Genomic DNA, 19,234 nt, shown 5'->3' on the forward strand with positions numbered 1-19,234 from the left:
GCAGTGCAAAGTAAAAGCAAGTTTATTAAGAAAGTAAAATGGTGAAAGAACAGCTACTCCATAGACAGAGTAGGACATTCCTGAAAATAAGAGGAGGAACACATCCACCCTAGGTACAATACTCATATATATGGGGAGATATGCTCTGTGACAAGGGTTTGTGATAAAGGATTAATTTTCTTAATTACTATATTTTGCAATAATCAATATTGTTATCTTTAAAGCAAAATTAGGAATCCCTTTGTTCTCCAAATATTGGGATATCTGGACACTCCCAAGTCTGGGTGTGTTTAGTAAACATTATTAATTTGTTCCCTTAACCGTAAACATCTAGAGGCTCGGAATGCTGAACTTTCTGAGGATGCAGCCCAGCAGGTACCAGCCTCATTTTCCAGCCCTCACTCAAAATGGAGTCGCTCTGGTTCAAATGTCTCTGACAGTGGCACCTGCCACACTGGTCAGCTGGAGGGGGCCCCTCTTTGCAGGGCTTCTCGGGGAGGTGGGAGGGGAGGAGGGCTACATTTCCATTCTGGAATTGGGCCCAGTCTCTGAAAAAATGTGCAGACTCCACACGGAGCAAACTGGGTAGAAATAACCATATCGCCCAAATGTTCTTGATAAGGCTAGGTGCCCCTGGCCCCAGCGAGGGGCTTCTTGGCAGAGATAGCCAGGCCAACTCCCAGTGAGGGGAGCAGGACTACTGCCTGATTCCTGGACCATTTTGTTTTCTATGAGGGCCCCATTGATGCCTCAGTTTCCCTCACCTTCCAAATGGGGCACGTGACTCTTCTGACTTTCCTAGGTCCCCCCACCCAGGGTCAGCTTTCTGTATCCTAGAGGTGGGGAGGTGGGAGATGAAGTGGGGGCAGGGTGGCAGGAGCCAGATCACCTTGAGGGCTATGGTGAGGAGGTGGGATTGTTTTCTAAAGATAGAGCCCCTTAGATATAGGAGGAGGGGAGGGTGATGTGGAAGGGGTGCTACCAAGGAGAAGGTGGTCGTGGGGGGTCCTCAGTCCTGGCTGGGATGCCGAGGGTGGGGGCAGTGAGGGAGGTGTTGGGGAGAGCATGGGCCCCTTTCTCCCCAGCTTACCCCTACCAGACTTAAGCCTGACTTCTGGGGAAGCCCCCTTCCCTGCCCCCGACCTTGGGATCCTGACTCACATGGTCTTTCCAGCAGGTCCAGGGCTCCATTTAGAATCACTCCCGGGAAATCATGGCAGGGAGGTGGCAGTGACTTCTGTTAGGTCTTGTGGCAGTGTCCTTTGTTGATTCTCTTGGTTAAAACCAAGAGTTTTGGACCCTGAACTCTGCTGTGAGAGATCTTTATTGAAACCGAATCATGACCCCACACCCTCTCCCCAACTGAAAAGCTTTCAGTGGCTCCCTATTGTTTATGGGACAAAGTCCAAACTTCTACCTTATGAGGCTGGTCGTGAGCACCTCCCCTCACCCTCATCCAATCCCACCATGTCATCTCTTATAAACTTCCTCGTCCCCAAATCCCCCAGCCAGGGTTAAATTATTACCCAGCCCTCAAATGCCTTACGCTGTCTTACATCCAGACTTGGCATATCCTGGTCTCCCTGCCTGGAACTCCCTTTTTAAAATCACCGTACAAACAGACACACTTCTCTCATCTTTCGTGTCTGATCTGGGAGGCTCTCCTGAACCTCCTGGCTGGATTAGGGGGCTCCCCCATAATAATGCACATCATAATTGATTGGAGTTCCTTGGCTAGTCTTTTTAAGACCCATGAGGGCAGCATTTGTATCTGTCTTCTTGACTCTTGTCACAAGCACAGAGTTTGGCACATATTAGAGGCTCAATAAATGCCCATGGATGGGCCAGAGTTTTGGGAAGCAGGGATCTCACTCCTGAACTTGCTGGAACCCAGTAGGAAGCAGGGGTTCTATCTGGTTTGCGGATACTGAGACGAGCAAATTCCCTTTCCCTCAGGCCCAGCCCGGCCCAGCCTGTAGCTCTGGAAGGTTCTGTTGGAGCTGACAGCCTCTGGGAAGTGAGGACTAGACAAAGTCCCTTCTCTAAGGGCCAAGGAAAAAGTTAGGCCATGGTGGTCACCCTCGGGAAGCAGAAACGGAAGCCTTAGCCCCCTCTTCCTTCTACCCTCTTGTCAGCTTCATCCTCTGGAAGGCCAAGTGCCAGGGACAAAGATGAAGGGATGTGACACAGTTATCGTCCCTCCAGGAGGGGCGTGAGGCCTTCAGAAAGGAAGCAGTGACACCTGCCACCTCCCAGCCTTGGGATGCCAGGACCTCCAGCTGGCCCTGCTGCCCCCTCCCCCGCTTCCTTGGGGCTGTTCATGGGAGGCCTCCCCTCATGGCTGTGGCCCTGCAGAGGCCAGCCGCTGATCAGTGAGTCTCTGCAGGCCCAAGCTGTCCCCAGATGTGTGCATGCATATGCACACACACACACACACACACACACACACACACACACAGCAAGGAGGATGCCTGGCTTTCTGAGCTACAACCCAGGACCCATGCACACCACAGTCCATGGCATCCTTTGCTCTCCTTTCTTCCTATTTTTATTCCTGTTTGAGTCACTATGGGACAATGAGGAGAGCCACTGAGGAAAGCTTTTCGGGATGGGGGAGGAGGAGGGAAGCATGGGCTGTAGAAGGGTTTTCGGGGAATCCCACGACTGCAAGTGAAAGAAGGGCTTTTTAAAAGTAATTTTGCATTATGGAAGACAAAGTCGCCCCATTATCGGAGGGCTTTACAAATAGAGAAAAGAGGAAGAAGGAGACTGGAAGAACACCCTTTGGCATGGTGTGTGTTTCTGTCTACACCCTCGTCCTGCTTTGCCCGCCTAAGTACATCCAACTCTACATCACGGTCTTTCCACTTATACCCACATTAGCATTCTCCACGTCATTTTGCTGTCTTTCGGACAAGCGTTTTACCTGCCCGATGTTCTGTGAAGTGAGTGGGTCACTCTCCCCTCAGCCTGGCCCTGGCCCTGGGTATCTCTGGGTTTTTTGTCGTTTTCTTTTTTCTGCTGTGATGGAAACACTGTGCTTCCAGTTTTATGTACTTGGCCTTGTTCTCAGCAGGCAGGGATGTGGGGGGCGCCTCGTGGCCAAACACCAGGCTTTAGAGTCAGGCACAGTCAAGTTCAAATTCTGCCCCTGCCAATAAGACTTCAGCGCGTGCACTCCATCTGTGCCTCAGCTTCCTCGCCTGTGAAATAGGTCGCCTCGCAGCCTCACTCACAGGGAGTGTCGGCAGGGTTAGATGAGTGAATTTGCCTGAAGCATGTAACCCAGGACTGTTCTAGCACGGAGTAAGTGCCCAATCCATGTTAGCACTTCTGCTATAGCCGCCGGCGGGTCTGCCATGCTTAGTGTATACTGGGTGCTCACTTAATCCTTGCGGAATGAATGTGGGTGGCACCTTCCCATGTAGGTACTTTTCTGCCTGTGTGGCATGCACGTTTCTGTTGGGGACACCTTGTGTAGAGATAGATGTGTATCATACACTCACACACGCTCTCTCATCTACACCAAAGGGAGTGCACAGGGCTGTCCTCCTGGTTGAGGGTCCACGAGCATTTTATTGTGATTAAATATTTATCCGGGGCTTGTACTATGAACATTGCATTTTATGGCAGATAAAATGATGTCATGTAAAAAAAGGCTTGAAAAGCTGTGTGGCCCCATTCACAGAAAAGGCAGCTGTCACTAGGGAAGCAGAGCTGGGAGACGGCTCGAGCGAGGGGAGTCATCCATTCAACAAGTATTTATCTCAGCACCTACTGTGGGCCTGGGCCCAGGCCACGTGCCGGAGATGCCCTGGTGATGAAAACAGACATGCTCTCTGCTCTCGAGGTGCTTTGGTCTCTGTGGTGTTTAGAAATCAAATCCCTGAAGAGACCCACATTAATCAAATAATCACATATTTGAAGTTGCAAGCCCAGCTAAGGGCTGCAGAGGAAATGAGCTAGGAATGATGAGACCATATTACAGGGACCAGCTTTAGTCTGGAAGTCAGGGAAGGACTCCTGAGTTAGCCCAGTGAGGAGGCGCATGGTAGTCCAGTTAGAGGGTAGGAGCGAGATGTGCGAAGGCCCTGGGGTGGGAGACCATACCTCTGGCTCCAGCAAGTGAAAGGTGGGCAGTGTGGCTGGAGTGCAGGGTGAAGGGCAGATAGGCAGGATGTGTCTGAGAAGCAGGGGACAGGGCAGGGTCCCATGAGGCTTGTAGGCCCTGCTGAGGTCGTTATCATGAATGGGAGGGGACGAAAGAGGAGGAGGATTGAAGGGGTTTGAGGACAGAGAGCCTGGGCTGGGAGACCTGGCCAGACAAGGAGGCTTAGCTGTTGCCTCCACCATCCTCTGGCCCAAGTCTGTATGTCTGGCCTCCCTGGGCATCCAGAAAGTTCCCCAGTCTCCCAAGGTTGGCACAAGAATAAAGCAATTTCCCTGGGCAGATGAGGAGGGGGTTGAGGGTGGTCCTCACCACATTCAAATACAGGCTTCTTTTCTGCCATGTATTATTTACCTAGGGGCTTGTGAAAAAGAGAAGGATCCAAAAAAAACAACAGCAAGCAAACACCCCCTCCCCCCACCACCCTGCAGTCCAACATTGCTCCAGGCGTGCAGCCTGAGGGAATGAGTATTTTTTTTCCTCCAGTATCTGTACGTGTGTGAGCATGTGAGACGCTGTGCTAGAGCTCCAGGTCCCAACCAGCATAGGTGGCTCTGGGGCCTTTGGGACATCGCGAGGCGGCACCATCGCCTCCCACAGCCCCGGCAAAGGTTGGCCTCATGGGGCCTGCACTTTGAGATACGGTGGGCTTCCGTTTTAGATCAGTCTGGTGCTCCAGTAACTCCAGCAGGGCCTGCCTTGGGGGCTGGGGGTTCTCAGGCAGGCTGGCTCCTGGAAGGGTAAAATTCCCAGAGGAAGGGAGGTAGCGAGTCCGGGGGATTTGGCGGCCGCCCCTGCATAGCATTATTCTGTGCCTCACACATTCTTATTAGCATCGTAATCGCTCCAAAATACTGATTCATTATTGCACTCCGAGCTGCAGACGGAGGCAATGGGGTTTAATAGTTCCATATGAGCCATTCTGGGCTGTTGAGTAAATATTGCTCATTGTGAAAAATTGGGTAAATGTGTGTTTACGCTGTCGAGGAGCGAGGCACCAGCCAAGTAGGTAGCTGGTGTCTGGACATGCACCCGGCAAGGTGGTGGGGACAGGGGAATGAATGTTCTCTGGGAAATATTTGCTTCCTGTCTGGCTGGCCTTGGAAATGTTCTTTGGACATGGACGTTGGGATCAAGAAAGGGGCTTTACCTCAAAATCAAGGTAGAAGGAGCCTTGTGTTTCTTGTGCGTGTGCAAATGGCTTAGGAGTGGGCAGGAAAGACCCTGGGCCTTCCAAGCTTGTAGAGACAAATGATTGGATTCAGAATCAGAGAGCTGGTTACCACCAGCAGCAGGAGGCGATGTGGCAGGTGAGAAGTGTGCAGGTGAGAGGGTTTGACTCTGGGTTCCCTGTTCAACCACCTGCTAATTGTGGGATTTCAGGCAAGTTACCTGACCCCTCTGTGGCCTCAGTTTTCTCATCTATAAAATGGGGATAAAATAACTTCCTCGTAGGGCTATCATGGGATTTAAACATACGCTTATAACATTCAAGTGGTGTCAGTTGGCATCATGCACAAGAAATGTTCACCATTAATATGATTCTGGTCTAGCATGGAGAGAAGGCCTGGATTTGAGTCTGGCTATCTCAGGGCTTTGATTTTGAGAATCTGATGAAAGCTATGGATCTTCTTTTTAGAAATATGATGGAGACTTAGCATTTTGCATGTAGTTTCAGGGAGTTGCAAGATTCCCCCAAATCTAGCCATGTACCCCAAGTTAAGAGCTCCTACTTTTATCATGCACCTTGCTCTGGGGTGGAAGTGAGGCATAGAATTTGGAACTGCCTAGAAGTGGGTTTCAACCCAAGGCCTGGGTTTTATCCTGGCTCTGCCTCATATTTGCTGTGAAATTGGGCAAGTGAATGACCCATCTCTGAGCCTCAGTCTTTTTTACCTAATGTTGAGTGGCTTCATGTGGAAAGGACTTGGAGTATATAAAGCACTGGGCCCAATGCCCGGCATACAGTACTCAGTAAATATCATCCTCATAATTCCTTCTGGTTAAAGACCTAAGAGTTGCTAAATGTAGACTCTGACTCTCTGCTGTTTTTATAGTCTGTGTATAATAATTTCATTATCTGAAGTTCTTGGGTGTGATCCTGCTAATGTTGCCTGTTGATCTATGGTAGACCAGTTCCCCATGTGTTTTGTAATTTTGGATTGAGAGGTCATCTTTGGTAGGCTTGTATCTCTGTGAATTCTATGTGACCAGGATTGACCTTAGTGCAGAAGTCATCCAGATAGCAAATATTTTTCACTTTGCAGACTACAGTCTCTAACACAATGACTTAACTCTGCCTTTGTGCAAAAGCAGTGATAAACAAGAAATAAACTAATGAGTGGGGCTGGATTTGACCCAGGGCCGATGGGATTTGGCCTACAGGTCACTGTTTGCTCACCCTTGTTTTTTGGTTTGTTTGTTTGAGACGGAGTCTTGCTCTGTTGCCCAGGCTGGAGTGCAGTGGCACGATCTCGGCTCACTGCAAACTCCGCCTCTCCTGAGTTCAAGCAATTCTCCTGTCTCAGCCTCCTGAGTAGCTGGGACTACAGGTGCACATCACCATGCCTGGCTAGTTTTTGTATTTTTAGTAGAGACGGGGTTTGACCACATTGGTCAGGCTGGTCTCGAACTCCTGACCTCAGGTAATCCACCAGCCTTGACCTCCCAAAGTGCTGGGATTATAGGCATGAGCCACCGCACCCAGCCACCCCTGTGTTATTAATAGAAATATTTTGTATTTGTTTTGGCTTAATGTCCAGCAGTATTACCATGTGAGAATGATTTTTAAGTTAATTTCTTGGCAGAGAACAGTAGTTCTCAAAGTGTGGTCCCTGGACCAGCAGCATCAGCATCCCCAAGAAATTTGTTAGACATGCAAATTGTCGAGCTCCAACCCAGATCTCCTGAGTCAGGAATCCTGGCAGTGGGACCCAGCAGTTTCTATTTTAACAAATTGCCCAGGTGATTCTGATCCATACTCAAGTCTGAGAATTCCAAAGGGACAATCAATTTGAACTCCAAACCCATGCGAGTGCAGGATTATGGTTATACATTCTCAGGGGAAGCTACCTTTTGGTTTTCCAAACTAGAGGCAAGGCAGAGACAGATCAAGGCATGTCTTCTTCCAGTGTTAGTGGATAGAGGTGTTCTGATCCACATACTCGCTGAGTGTGAAGGCCTCTTCAGTACTAAGATGGGCACCTATCTATCCCATGCCCCACTCCTTTATTGCAGAGGGCACTTAATTATTGGTTCACATACTTAGCAGTCTGAGTGAGTTCCCTCTTCAGTTTTGGCCCTTGGGAATTTCTTACTTTTTCCAGAACTGACCTATATATTTAAAGGGATGCTGGTATACCTTATCCAGTATTTCTGGGTGTTTTATAGTGGGAGCATTTCAGGTTATATTGTCTTCCATGTTACTGGACACTGAAGTCCTCTCAATGTAATGAAAATTAGTTTCTCCTTTAGAATTCTTTTTAGAAGGTCTGGTAGCCTCCTGCTTCACTGGTGACCTGACACTTTTCACTTACCCTGGGGTCTGAGCCCACTTTGTCACTCACAGGGACCAAAGGCTGAACAAATCCTGGGAGTCTCTCTACCTTACCTCTGCCTGGAGCTGGAGTCCAGTTCAGCCAACGTTTGTTAAGCACCCATTGGGTGAGGGGTGAGGGGAGTTCACTTTATACAAGTGACAAGTATCTCTGCTAGAGGACACCACCCCATGGTCAGTGTATTCCAGCATGTAAATCCCCTTGCTCTGCTCTAGGGGAACTTGACTGCTCTAAGGAGGAGGGTCAGAATGGTGTCAGGGTGAAGAGCTCTGGCTTTAAAATCCATTGGAATCAAGTTCAACTCCCAGCTCTGCCTTTTACAAGCTGTGTGATCTTGAGTGAGCCTCTGCCCCTCTCTGAGCATCAGCTTCTCCAACTGCAAGGTGGGATGACAGAGGGTTGCTGTTAAGGATCCAGTGAGATCATTCATGGAAGGCACTTGGCCAAGCACCTGGTACATGGTGAGTCCTCCAGGGAGCACCTCCAATGAATGTTTGTGACTGGAATGGCCGTTATGAGTCTGTTTCTCATGATAACCGACTTGGAGAAGTCAGGCTGGGGAGGTGGACTGGCCCTTGGGTGCTCCAGAGGCCATCGTGTCACAGATACAACTTGGGGTAGCAGCCCTGCACCCCACCACTATTCCTGTAGTGACCTTTCTTCATGCTTTCCACCTCTACACAGTCATGTGACTCAACCCAGGAAGACAGGGAAGCTGCCAGTCATAGTATGCCATCCCTCTGGCTACAGTGATTGGACCACCAGAGAGTCACATGACTTAAGCTGGGCCAATCAGAATTCTCTGGTACTTTTCAGCTGGAGCAGGTCTCTGTTGTCCCTATAGCTGAGACGTGGGAAGGAAGAAAGGAAGGAAGCCTGAAGGAAGGAAGTCTAGAGCCGCCTGGAGGCAGGGTTTCAGACAATTTCATGGGGACAGAGTGAAACCAGCCTGCAGGGAGAGGCTAAGAGACAGAGTCCTGATTTGAATCATCCTGAGGGCATTCTCTCTCTTTATCGTTTGATTACAGGAGCCCAACCCATGTTTTTATTTGTGTATTTGGTTGTTTAAGCTTGTTCAGACCGAGTTTCTGCCACCTACAATCAGAAACACCCCCAAAACATGTCTCCCCATGGAAGGTTCCGGGAACTCTTGGCCACTCCATTCTGTGTGACCAAAATTCTCCAAAGGTGAATCAGACACAAGTCATGTCTGCCAACCTGGCCTGGTGTTGATAGGCGGGTCTGGTGCAGGATGTACCCTGTTGTTTGAAGAACATCATGTGGAGAACAAGGGGACAGAGGGAGGCCATAGGGTGTGCCAGGACACAGGCCTGGGCAGAACTCCACCACCCTTGGGATTTGAGTATCCCAGAAGAAGGAACATTTGGGCAGTGACATGGCCATGTTCGTGTCACTGAACCACCCTGAGAAATAAGGTCCCGCGCAGAGCTTCAGCAGATGTGGAATAGTTCCACCCCCTGCCTCAGATTCTTTTCAGGGCAGCCCATCACGACCCCTCTAGCAAGAGTTACCTGCCCTCCCCACCGATCATACCCTAGTCCAGCAGGGAATGGCTTTTGCCCACTTTTAAAAAGTGGCCTGCAGAGCCTGGCGAAGTCCCTCCCGTGTCCCCAAGCCCACCACACCTGCTTCGTTCTGCATAGTTCTCCCCGCTTTATCTTTGATCTCAAAAAAAGATCATCTTGGAAAAGATTGTTTTGTGTGCAGTTTACCCAAATGCCACTTTTTCTAATTTTGCCGGAGTTGCCCTCCCCACTTTCCCTCTTCCTTTTCTTTCTTTCTTGGATTTGCTCTGGGGTTGGCTTCCTCGAACCAAAATAACTCTCACAATGCACAGGGAAAAGTGCTTCCTGTGGATGAATGACATCTGTATGAAAAGCCAGCCAGCCGGCCGATTTCTGTCCTTTGAAGACGCTTGTCAGCGAGTGCTGCGGTGAAGTGTCAGGCGTCACCCGGGGTGACTGTGGAGACGCCTGCAACAGTGAGCTTTTTTATTTTTTTCCAGAAAGCCTTCAGCCCAAACTCTGGGCTCTCCGGGGACCCAGGAGCGCATCCATTTTCTGAGGAGATGAAAAGCGATGCTGGTTTGAGCAGCTGGTGTTTTCTCCTGTGTTCCCGGCAGGGCCCTGCAGCAGTGCCTTTGTAGCTCACCTGCTCTGCCTTGCGTGGTTCAACTCCGCCCCCTTCTTCCCTGATTCGTGTGCCCATGTCAGGGGCTGTTTGCACCCTGAGAGGAGAGGAGACGGGGTGCCGGTAATGCCCCCATGGCCCTCCTGTTGGACAGGAGGGGAAAATCTCATGGTTAAGAATGTGGCCCTGGGCAGGGTTTGGTGGCTCATGCCTGTCATCCCAGCACTTTGGGAGGCCGAGGCGGGTGGATCATTTGAGGTCAGGAGTTCGAGACCAGCCTGGCCAACATGGTGAAACCCCATCTCTACTAATAATACAAAAAATAGCCGGACTGGGTGGCCTGTACCTGTAATCTCAGCTACTCGGGAGGCTGAGGCAGGAGAATTGCTTGAACCCAGGAAGGTAAGGTTGCAGTGTCCGTAGATCGCACCTCTGCATTCCAGCCTGGTGACAGAGCAAGACTCGGTCTAAAAGAAAGAAAAAAAGGAATGTGGCCCTGGAGTCAGAATGGGTCTGGGTTCAAATCTCTGAGCCTCAGTTTTCCTATCTGAAGAATGGGGTTGTTAGGTTTAGTGAAGACAGTATGGGAAAATTACTTCCTTAGCACGGAGCCCAATACATAGTAAGTGCTCACTTCTCCAGGTTCACCCTGGCTGACCCTTCCTCTCAGCCCATGTGCTGCCATATTAAAGTTAGCACAGCTCTGAAGGGCAGTATTTTCTCCCTCTTCCGTGCTCTTCCCCTTGCCCACAGTAACTTTCCATACTTCGTCTGTCCAGTGGACTCCTGTTCATCCATCAGGGCCCAGCTTAAAGCATCACCTCTCTGTAAACCCTCAGTCAGCAACCCCTCCATCCTAAGGCTGGCCATAAACAAAGCCTTGCTCTGTGTGTGTGTGTGTGTGTGTGTGTGTGTGTGCGCGCGCGTGTGTGTGTGTTATTTTCTCATAGCTCTGGAGGTTAGAAGTTTGAGATCAAGGTTTCAGCAGGTTCTTTCTGAGGCCTCTCTTATTGGCTTATAGATGCCTGTCTTCTCCCTGTGTCTTCACATGGTCATACCCTGGGCATGTCTGTGTCTTAATCTCTTATTAGAAGGACACCCATCAGATTGAATTAGGGCCCACTGTCATGATCTCATTTTTACCTTAAATACATCTTTAAAGGCCCTGCTCCAAATACAGTCTCCAAACACACATTCTGAAGTCCTGGGGGTTAGGACTTCAGTTGGGGAGGCGGGAGTTCAGCTCCTAATAAAAAAGTCACCATGCCTAGGTGTGCTTCTAGATGATACCTGTGTGGGCTTCAGTCTCTACAGGACCCTAGAGCATGGCTTTAGACAGCCCCAGGGCCCAGCTCCTGTGATGAGGATGGGAGGGTCGCTGCATGGGGGATGCCGGCCTGGGAGCTCCTGGCCGCAGAGCTTGGCTGCCTTCCCTGACTTGAGGCCTAGGCACACACCTCCATGCTCTGCCTGGTCTTACAAGGAGTTTGTAAGTCTCTGAACTGCCCACAGCAGCCATGGAGGCGTAGGGAGCCAGAGTCTCAGATATCCAGGGAGTGGGAGAAGGGAATGGGTGTGCCTGAAGACATCCTGCCCAGCTTCAGCAAGTGGGGGTCTCTGGACAACCTTCTAGGGCCACACAAGAAATAAAACCGTTGTTAACACTATCTATGGGTTTGTCCTCCCTCTCTCCCTTCCTTCCTTCCCTTCCTCCCTTCCCTCTCTCCCTCCCTCCCTCCCTTCTTCCTTCCTTCCTTCTTTCCTTCCTTCCTTCCTTCCTTCCTTCCTTCCTTCCTTCCTTCCTTCCTTCCTTCCTTCCTTCTTTTTCAAGATTTTCTTTACAGCAGTTTTAGGTTCACAACAAAATCGAGAGTTGCCGTATCCTCTCTGCCCCAATATGTGCATAGCCTCCCCCATTATCAGCATCTCCCACCAGAATCGTACATTTGTTACAAATCAATGTACATTGACACATCATTACCCAGAGTCTGTAGTTTACATTAGGATTCATTCTTGGTGTGGTATGTTCTATGGGCTTGGACAAGTGTATAATGACATATATCTGCCATCATAGTATCATACCTAGGATTTTTGCTGCCCTAAAAATCATCCGTGCTCTACTACTTCATCCCTCCCTGCTCCCTCCAACCTCTGGACACCAGTGACCCTCTTACTGTCTCCATAGTTTTGCCTTTTCCAGAATTCCATATAGTTGGAATCATACAGTATGTAGCCTTTTCAGATTGGCTTTTTTCACTTAACAACCTGCATTTAAGATTCTTCCATGTGTTTTCCTGGCTTTTTAGCTCATCTTTTTTTAGTGCCAAATAATATTCCATTGTCTGCAGGTACCACCGTTTATTTATCCATTCACCTACTGAAGGACATTTTAGTTGGTTCCAAATTTTGGCAGTTATGAGTAAGGCTGCTGTAAACATCTTTCTCTAGGTTTTTTTTTTTTTTTTTGTGGACATAAGTTTTCACCTCCTTTGGGTAAATATGAAGGAACAAGATTGCTGGATCATATGGTAAGAGTATGCTTAGTTTTTTAAGAAACTGCCAAATTGTCTTTCAAAGTGGCTACACCATTTTGCCTTCCCACCAGCAATGAATGCGTGTTCCTGTTGCTCCACATCTTTGCCAGCATTTAGTGTTATCAATGTTCTGGATTTTGGCCATTCTGATAGGTGTGTAGAGGTATCTCACTATTGTTTTAATTTGCATTTTCCTGATGATATACGACTTGGAGCATCTTTTCATATGCTTATTTGCATATACTGTATATCTTCTTTGGTGAGGATCTGTTAAGTTCCTTGGTCAATTTTTTAAACAGGCTATTTTCTTATTGTCAAGTTTTAGGAGTTCTTTGTATAAAAGTCCTGTATCAGATGTGTCTTTGGCAAATATTTTCTCCCAGTCTGTGGCTTGTTTTCTCATTCTGTTAATACTCCCTTTCCAGGAGCAGAAGTTTTTAATTTTAATGAAGTCTGGCTTATCAAGAATTTATTTGCTTTTGGTGTTGTATCTAAAAAGTCAACACCAAACCCAAGGTCATCCAGATTTTCCTATGTTATCTTCTGGGAGTTTTATAGTTTTGCATTTTACATTTAGGTCCATGATCCATTTTGAGTTAATTTTTGTGAAGAGTGTAAGGTCTGTGTCTCTATTGATTTTTATTTTTTATTTTTGGCATGTGGCTGTCCAGTTGTTCCAGCACCATTTGTTGAAAAGACAAATATCTCTTCTCCATTTTATTGCCTTTGCTCCCTTGTCAAAGATCAGTTAACTATATTTATGTGGGTCTATTTCTGGGCTCTCTGTCCTGTTCTATCGATCTATTTGTCTATTCTTTCTCCAATACCACACTGTCTTCATTACTGTAGCTTTATAGTAAGTCTTGAAGTTCAGTAGTGTCAGTCCTTGACTTTGTCCTTCTCTTTCATATTATGTTGGCTATTCTGGGTCTTTTGCCTCTCCATATAAACTGTAGAATCAGTTTGTCACTACCCACAAAAATAGCTGGCTGGGATTTTAACTGGGATTGCACTGAGTCTATAGATCAAGTTGGGAAGAACTGACAACTTGACAATATTGAGTCTTCCTATCCATGAACATGGACTATCTCCCCATCTATTTAGTTATTCTGTGATTTTATTCGTCAGAGTTTTGTAGTTTTACTCATATAGATCTTGCACATAGTTTGTTACATTTAGCCTTGCTTTATTTATATATAGTATTTAGTCTACATGTGTTTGTGTTCCTGTCAAGAGCAGGTTCCCACACCCTGTGGGCCTCCCTGCCCCCATGCAGTTCCCTCTGTGTTTGTAACCCTTTGTCCATCTCTCCATCACAATACAGTGCTGATTGCAATATCTACCTCAAGGAATGGCAAACTCCCATGAGCTTAGGGACAGGCAAGTAACATGAATGGTGGATCAGGCTCTGAGTAAAGTAGGAGGAAGTTTGTTGGGGGTATGGGGTGCTAGGCAACTGGGGAGACCTGGCCCTGCCCCAGGGAAATAAAATTGATTAAAATACTGGGCTGGATGGATAAAATACCTGATTACTGGCTGACTGTGGCCCTTGGGCCTGCTTGTTTACAGTCTCTGGTTCTATTTATGTCCTCTTCCCAGCCCCATCAAGGCAGGGAGCCCTTTGAGGGCAGGGACCCCTCCCCCAACCCCAACTTCAGTGTCCTCTGCTGGGGGGCACACACATTGCAGAAGTGAGCAAATTTTTGATGAATGAAGAAACACATTTGCTGTTATCCTACTCATTCTTTTGAAAAGTAAAATATATTCAATGTGGCCATTATAGAAAGAACAGATAAGCAAAAAGAAGAAAATAAAAATGGTCCACTTAAGAGATAAATTTTTGTCACGGTTTCTTTAGATCTTTTGTTGACATGTCACAGACAGAAAAAGGCACAGATCCTATAGGTTCAGCTCAACTGTCACAAACTGAACATACTCATGGAATTTCCACTCAAATTAAGAACTAGAAAATCCCTGGCCCTCTTAGAGGCTCCTTCGTATCCCTTCCAGTCACTACCAACCACCCACCCCCCAGGGTGAACCCTGTGCCCACTTCTTACAGCACAGATTAGTCTTGTTTGGAATCAACCAGCCTGTGCTCTTCTGTGTCTGGTTTCTTTTACCAACATTATGTTCTCAAGATTCACCTGTGTTGTGCGGCATTACAGTTTGTTGTCATTGCTGTGTAGCATTCTCTTTTGTGACTACACCACAATTTTTCATCCATTCCCCTGTTAAGGTACATTTGAGTGGCTTCAGTTGGGGGCTCCTACAAACAGTGCTGTTAGGAACATTTGTTCATTACTGTCTTTTAGTGCACAGGGGCACACAGTTTTCTTGGGTATAAATAAGGGTTTCTCAGTCTTGACACCATTGATGTTTGGGGCCAGAGAATTCTTTGTTGTGGGTGCTGCTCTGTGCGTTGTAGGATGCTTAGCAGCATCTCTGGCCTCTATCTACTCAGTGCGATAGCATCTCCCAAATTGTAACAATGAAAAATGTCTCCGGGGGCTGGTCATGGTGGCTTATGCCTATAATCCCAATGCTTTGGGACGCCAAAGCAGGAGGATCACTTGGAGCCAGGAATTTGAAACCAGCCTGGGCAACACAGGGAGACCCTGTCTCTATGAGAAAATTTAAAAATTAGCTGGGTATGGTGGCAAGCGCCTGTAGTTCTAGCTACTCCGGAGGCTGAGGCAGGAGAATGTCTTGAGGAGTTCAAGGCTGCAGTGAGCGATGATCACACCACTGCACTCCAGCCTGGGGGACAGAGGGATACCTCATCTCAGAGAAAAACAATTGAATTTTAGATAAACAGTGAATGATTTTCAGTATAAGTATATCCCATGCAATGTTTGGGATATACTTATACTAAAAAAAAAAATCATACATTGTTTATCTGAAATGAAATGTGTCATTGTTTATCTGAAATGAAATGTGTCTGGGTGTCCTGTATTTTATCCAGCAATCGGCTTAATTCCATTTCTTCTGTCTTCTGAACACTGCAGTGAATAACATCCTGGAAGCTGAATCTTTGCATACAAACCATGTTTCCCAGTCGAGGCTTCTCATTTGAATCACCTGGGGGCTTGTTAAAGCCCAGCATCTCGCCCCACCCCAGGTCTCTCGAAACAGATTGCAAATTTGGTTGAGACTGAATCTGTAACTAAGTCCCCAGGTGATTCAGAGCCAAAGACGTAGGGTAAACACCTGAGTAGAGTAAATTGTGAGGGCCACCCGCCTATTTCGCTAAAGTGGAAGATGGGGCAGGGAAACATTCTAGCTGTTCCCTGCCTGATCAGCTGGGTCAGCTCTCTGCTGTGAGTGAAGATAGAGGCTTGTCTTTGCCCAACCTTGCCTGGGACCCCTCTGCCTGTGGCCTTCAGCTTGGACAGGGGGCTGAGGGGGTGCCCCTACCTTGAGCTGCCCCTCAGCTCAGCCCAGAGCCTGCCCTGACTTCACAGGAAGCAGCAGCTGAACTTTGGCAGCAGGAGGGAAGTGGGGGGTTGTGGGCACCAGAACCAACTGCATTGATTTCTGGCTGCAGTTCTTGGAAGGCCTGTCATGAGGAAAACAGGCAGCGGGTAAACAGCAGACGGCGGCAGGGCCCAGCAGCTGGGAGGACCTGGCTGGACCTAGGAACCTGTCTTAGCTCGTGGTACCGGCCAGGTCTGGCCACCACTGTTGGGGACACCGTGCCCCTCGGGCCCAGGCCTGAGCCTCTCGAGACCCCACCATCTAGCCAGGTAAGGTTTGCCCAGACCTGGTCCCCCAGAACTGTCTCCCTTGCTCTGCCCCTGCCTGTTCAGAGCCTTAGGGATTCTGGGTTCATTCATCCAGTCCCCCACAGGCCTTCTCTGGACCAGGCCTGGCCGAGTCACACCTGAGGGCTGCAGAGGATGGAGGAGACAGCCACCACCCCCACCCCCCACCACCCAGCCGCACCCTGAGCCCTGCTCACAGGAGCAGCCGCTCTCCCTGGCTCTGGAGGGCAGATCTGATTTCTGTTCCATCCCAGCTGCTGCCAGGCACCCCTGGAGCCGTCAGACCGCAGCCAACTAGGCGGGCCGACCCTGTCTGCGCAGAGCCACCGCAAAATTACAGCTCAGACAGGATCAATAGGATCAGGTCGAGGGGCCTTTGGAGGATGATTTTGCTTTGAGGAGAGGTCAGAGGGGCTTCAGACTTATAAATTTATTATTTAAGGGAGGATTCCTGGTGGTCCGTAAGAGTTTGTTGGACAGGGAGTTGGCCTCTCTCTGGTCTCCTGGATGTTCTCTGGGGTGGAGTCAAAGCGTCTAGGCTGTTTGCGATGGGATAAGCTGGGTGCCTTCCCCGGCAATGGGTAGAGGGGATGATCAGGGTTTGGGGGCAGCGTTCGGATGCGGAGAGGGAGCTGCTCACCTTCCATGTCCATTTGCTGCTGTTGTTTTTTGGGGAGAGCTCAGTTGACAAATATATTTGTGTGTCATGCTGTCTTTTTACTTATTTGGGCGCTTATTGTAGGCCTGGCATTATTCTAGGCTGAGGGAATCAGGTCATGACCAAGCCAGATGGAGCTTATAAGTCTCATTATTTGTCCTTACTGGGGAGGAATCCAAGGCCCAGGGTGTCCGAGTGATTTGCCCAGGGTCACTCAGCAAGAGGCCCCTGCCAGGTTCCACTCTGCCTAGGAAATGAGCAAAATAGTCTCCATCAGACCAAGTGGGAAACTGAGTCTGAATAATAATGATGATGATAATAACCAGCCTTCAGTAAGGGCTTAGCAGGTGGCCGGGAACTGTGCTAAGTGAACCCTATGAGGTTGGTACTATTGTCTTCCCATTATAAAGGTGAGAAAACTAAGGTTCAGAGAGGTGAATTCACATTCTTGAAGTCACACAGCTAGTCAGTGGCAAAGCTAGAATTTGAACTCAGGACTTTGGCTTTCAAGCTTAACCACACATCATGTGGATACTTTCTGAAGTTCCCACTAAAGCCTTGTGCACTGGAGAGGCAAGTCAGCATCATCATTTTTATAAAGATCAGGTCCTCAGGCTGGGATGTGCAGTTGAGGAGGATGCTAATCCACCACCACTGACTTTATCCAGAACTGATCTAAGGAGCAAAACAAAACACCTGGCATATAATAGCAATATTAACAATGGAAACAACAGATGCCATTTTTGAGCAGTTGAATAATTCCCATGTGCCTCCTACCATGTAGAGATGACCTAGAGAACTTCAAATCCATAGCTGCATTCTTGTTCCCATTTGATGGATGAGGAAACTGAGGCTGGGAGACTCACTTGCCAAAGCTCACACAGCCAGGAAGTGGCAGAGCCGGGATTTGAATTCTGTTGGCTACACAGCTCACAGAGCCTCCTTGCTGGTCCTCCCAGCAGCTGCTCCAAGGAGCCAGTGGGAGCTTCTGTGCTCTTCTGGGGTCTCTCAGTAGCTCAGAGCATAGATACAACTCACCCTTCTCTCCATCACTCAGCAGACGGGCTAGCCTCCTCCCAGGTTCCAGTCTGTTTCCAGCCCTGCTCGAGAGTCTTATATTTTCCCCTCCCAAGTCCTCCTTTCTAATCAGGTCAGCCGTTGACTACGGGCCCCAAAATAATGCCAAGTGCAGCCTTTGCTGCATTGGATTTCTTGCTTGCTTAGCAGAATGGAAACTTTGGCATGGGTATATGTGTGTCCTTAAAAAAAAATCCTTTATTTACTCTGCTCCTGTTTTTATAAGATATGACTCTTAACGAGGCTTTAATTCAAGGTCAAAGAGTCGAGAAGTTGGTGAGAAAACCCGTCGCCCCTCGGGGCCCTGCTGGACACATAAACGGCCAAAGGATGGCTCTTTTCATCTCCTCTTTTAAACAGTCCCATTGCAACAGAGCTATTCCTTGCACGAGGAGGTAAAATATTTGAACTGATTGTATTGCCTGTTCCTAACTGTTTGCAGAATACATCTCTGCCCCCCTTGACTATTTATTTTTTCCTTTGCTGTAGTTCAAGGGAAATAATTTATTAACTTGGGAATTCCAAATAGTGCTCCCAAACCCCGCAGCGCCCCCGAGGCCCAAGCTGGCCTCTGCCTGCCCTGCTTGGGGAGTTGAAAGAGGCCTTTCCTTGAAACGCGCAGCCGTGTGGCAGGGCCCGGGAAGACGTGGGTAATGTATTCACAGACATGACTCCCAGACCCCGAGTGTCTTGAACCCTAGCCTCTGGGGACTGGCGCGGCCATGCCATCGACCTGAACCCCCTGGACTTCTGCCCCCCTGGACTGATGGCCTAAATCCATCAGGCTCACCAGCCCCGGTCTTGGACCACTGAATAATTTACGGTCCCTCGGAGCGGCGAGGAGCAGGTCACTGGAGTTCATGGGTTAATAACAGGTTTGGTTTTCGATGTCAGCAGCTCTCTTGATAACGTATGAAAGAATCCTATTCTGTTGATTAGATTTTGAAATGGATCAATTTTTAATCAGCCAAACACCTGACTCACTCAATAAGCGTTGCATTGTGGAGACAGGATGGAGGCCAGCTTTATTTACAAGAGTGTTTGTTTTTTGGGGGCCATACGCAAATTCCCACCCAGATCCCTCCTCCTGGAAGAAATTGACCAGATTATCTCCCACCTCAAATGGCAGCATTTGATTCATCTTCTGATTAGTTGGGAAATCCATGGGTCTGTTTAAGAGATAAGAACAGCAGCTAAAGGTTTGATTTAGTCTTCTGTGGTTATTGATGGGAAAAGCATTTATTTGTCAATGAAGAAATTTTTGCTTAATGTAACAGCAAGAAAGAAGAGAGGAAACAAAGGGAGTCCAGGTGGTACCCAGGGGT

General features: G+C 48.4%; 1 protein-coding gene across 5 annotated transcripts in view, besides 2 other annotated features; it reads left to right on the forward strand.

Moving 5' to 3' along the window:
- Positions 1-19,234, forward strand: part of CUX2 (cut like homeobox 2) — a 316,390-nt gene that overhangs the window by 24,594 nt on the left and 272,562 nt on the right. For 2 of the 5 annotated variants that reach the window (XM_017019080.2, XM_011538070.3), the window contains exon 1: positions 15,956-16,156. The exons of the other annotated variants lie outside the window; for them this stretch is intronic. The gene's annotated coding sequence lies outside the window, so the exon portion shown is untranslated. Of the gene's footprint in view, positions 1-15,955; positions 16,157-19,234 lie in introns of those variants that run through there. 5 annotated transcript variants of the gene reach the window in all.
- Positions 1,800-2,302: an enhancer, noted in NCBI's record as "H3K4me1 hESC enhancer chr12:111498362-111498864 (GRCh37/hg19 assembly coordinates)". NCBI's record gives its function as "activates a minimal SCP1, AML or CMV promoter by ChIP-STARR-seq in naive H9 embryonic stem cells {active_cell/tissue: H9 hESC(naive)}" and the evidence as "EXISTENCE:reporter gene assay evidence [ECO:0000049][PMID:30033119]".
- Positions 13,467-13,982: an enhancer, noted in NCBI's record as "NANOG hESC enhancer chr12:111510029-111510544 (GRCh37/hg19 assembly coordinates)". NCBI's record gives its function as "activates a minimal SCP1, AML or CMV promoter by ChIP-STARR-seq in naive H9 embryonic stem cells {active_cell/tissue: H9 hESC(naive)}" and the evidence as "EXISTENCE:reporter gene assay evidence [ECO:0000049][PMID:30033119]".

The sequence above is a fragment of the Homo sapiens genome, chromosome 12 (genome assembly GCF_000001405.40).
Source record: "Homo sapiens chromosome 12, GRCh38.p14 Primary Assembly".
Lineage (NCBI taxonomy): Eukaryota > Metazoa > Chordata > Mammalia > Primates > Hominidae > Homo > Homo sapiens.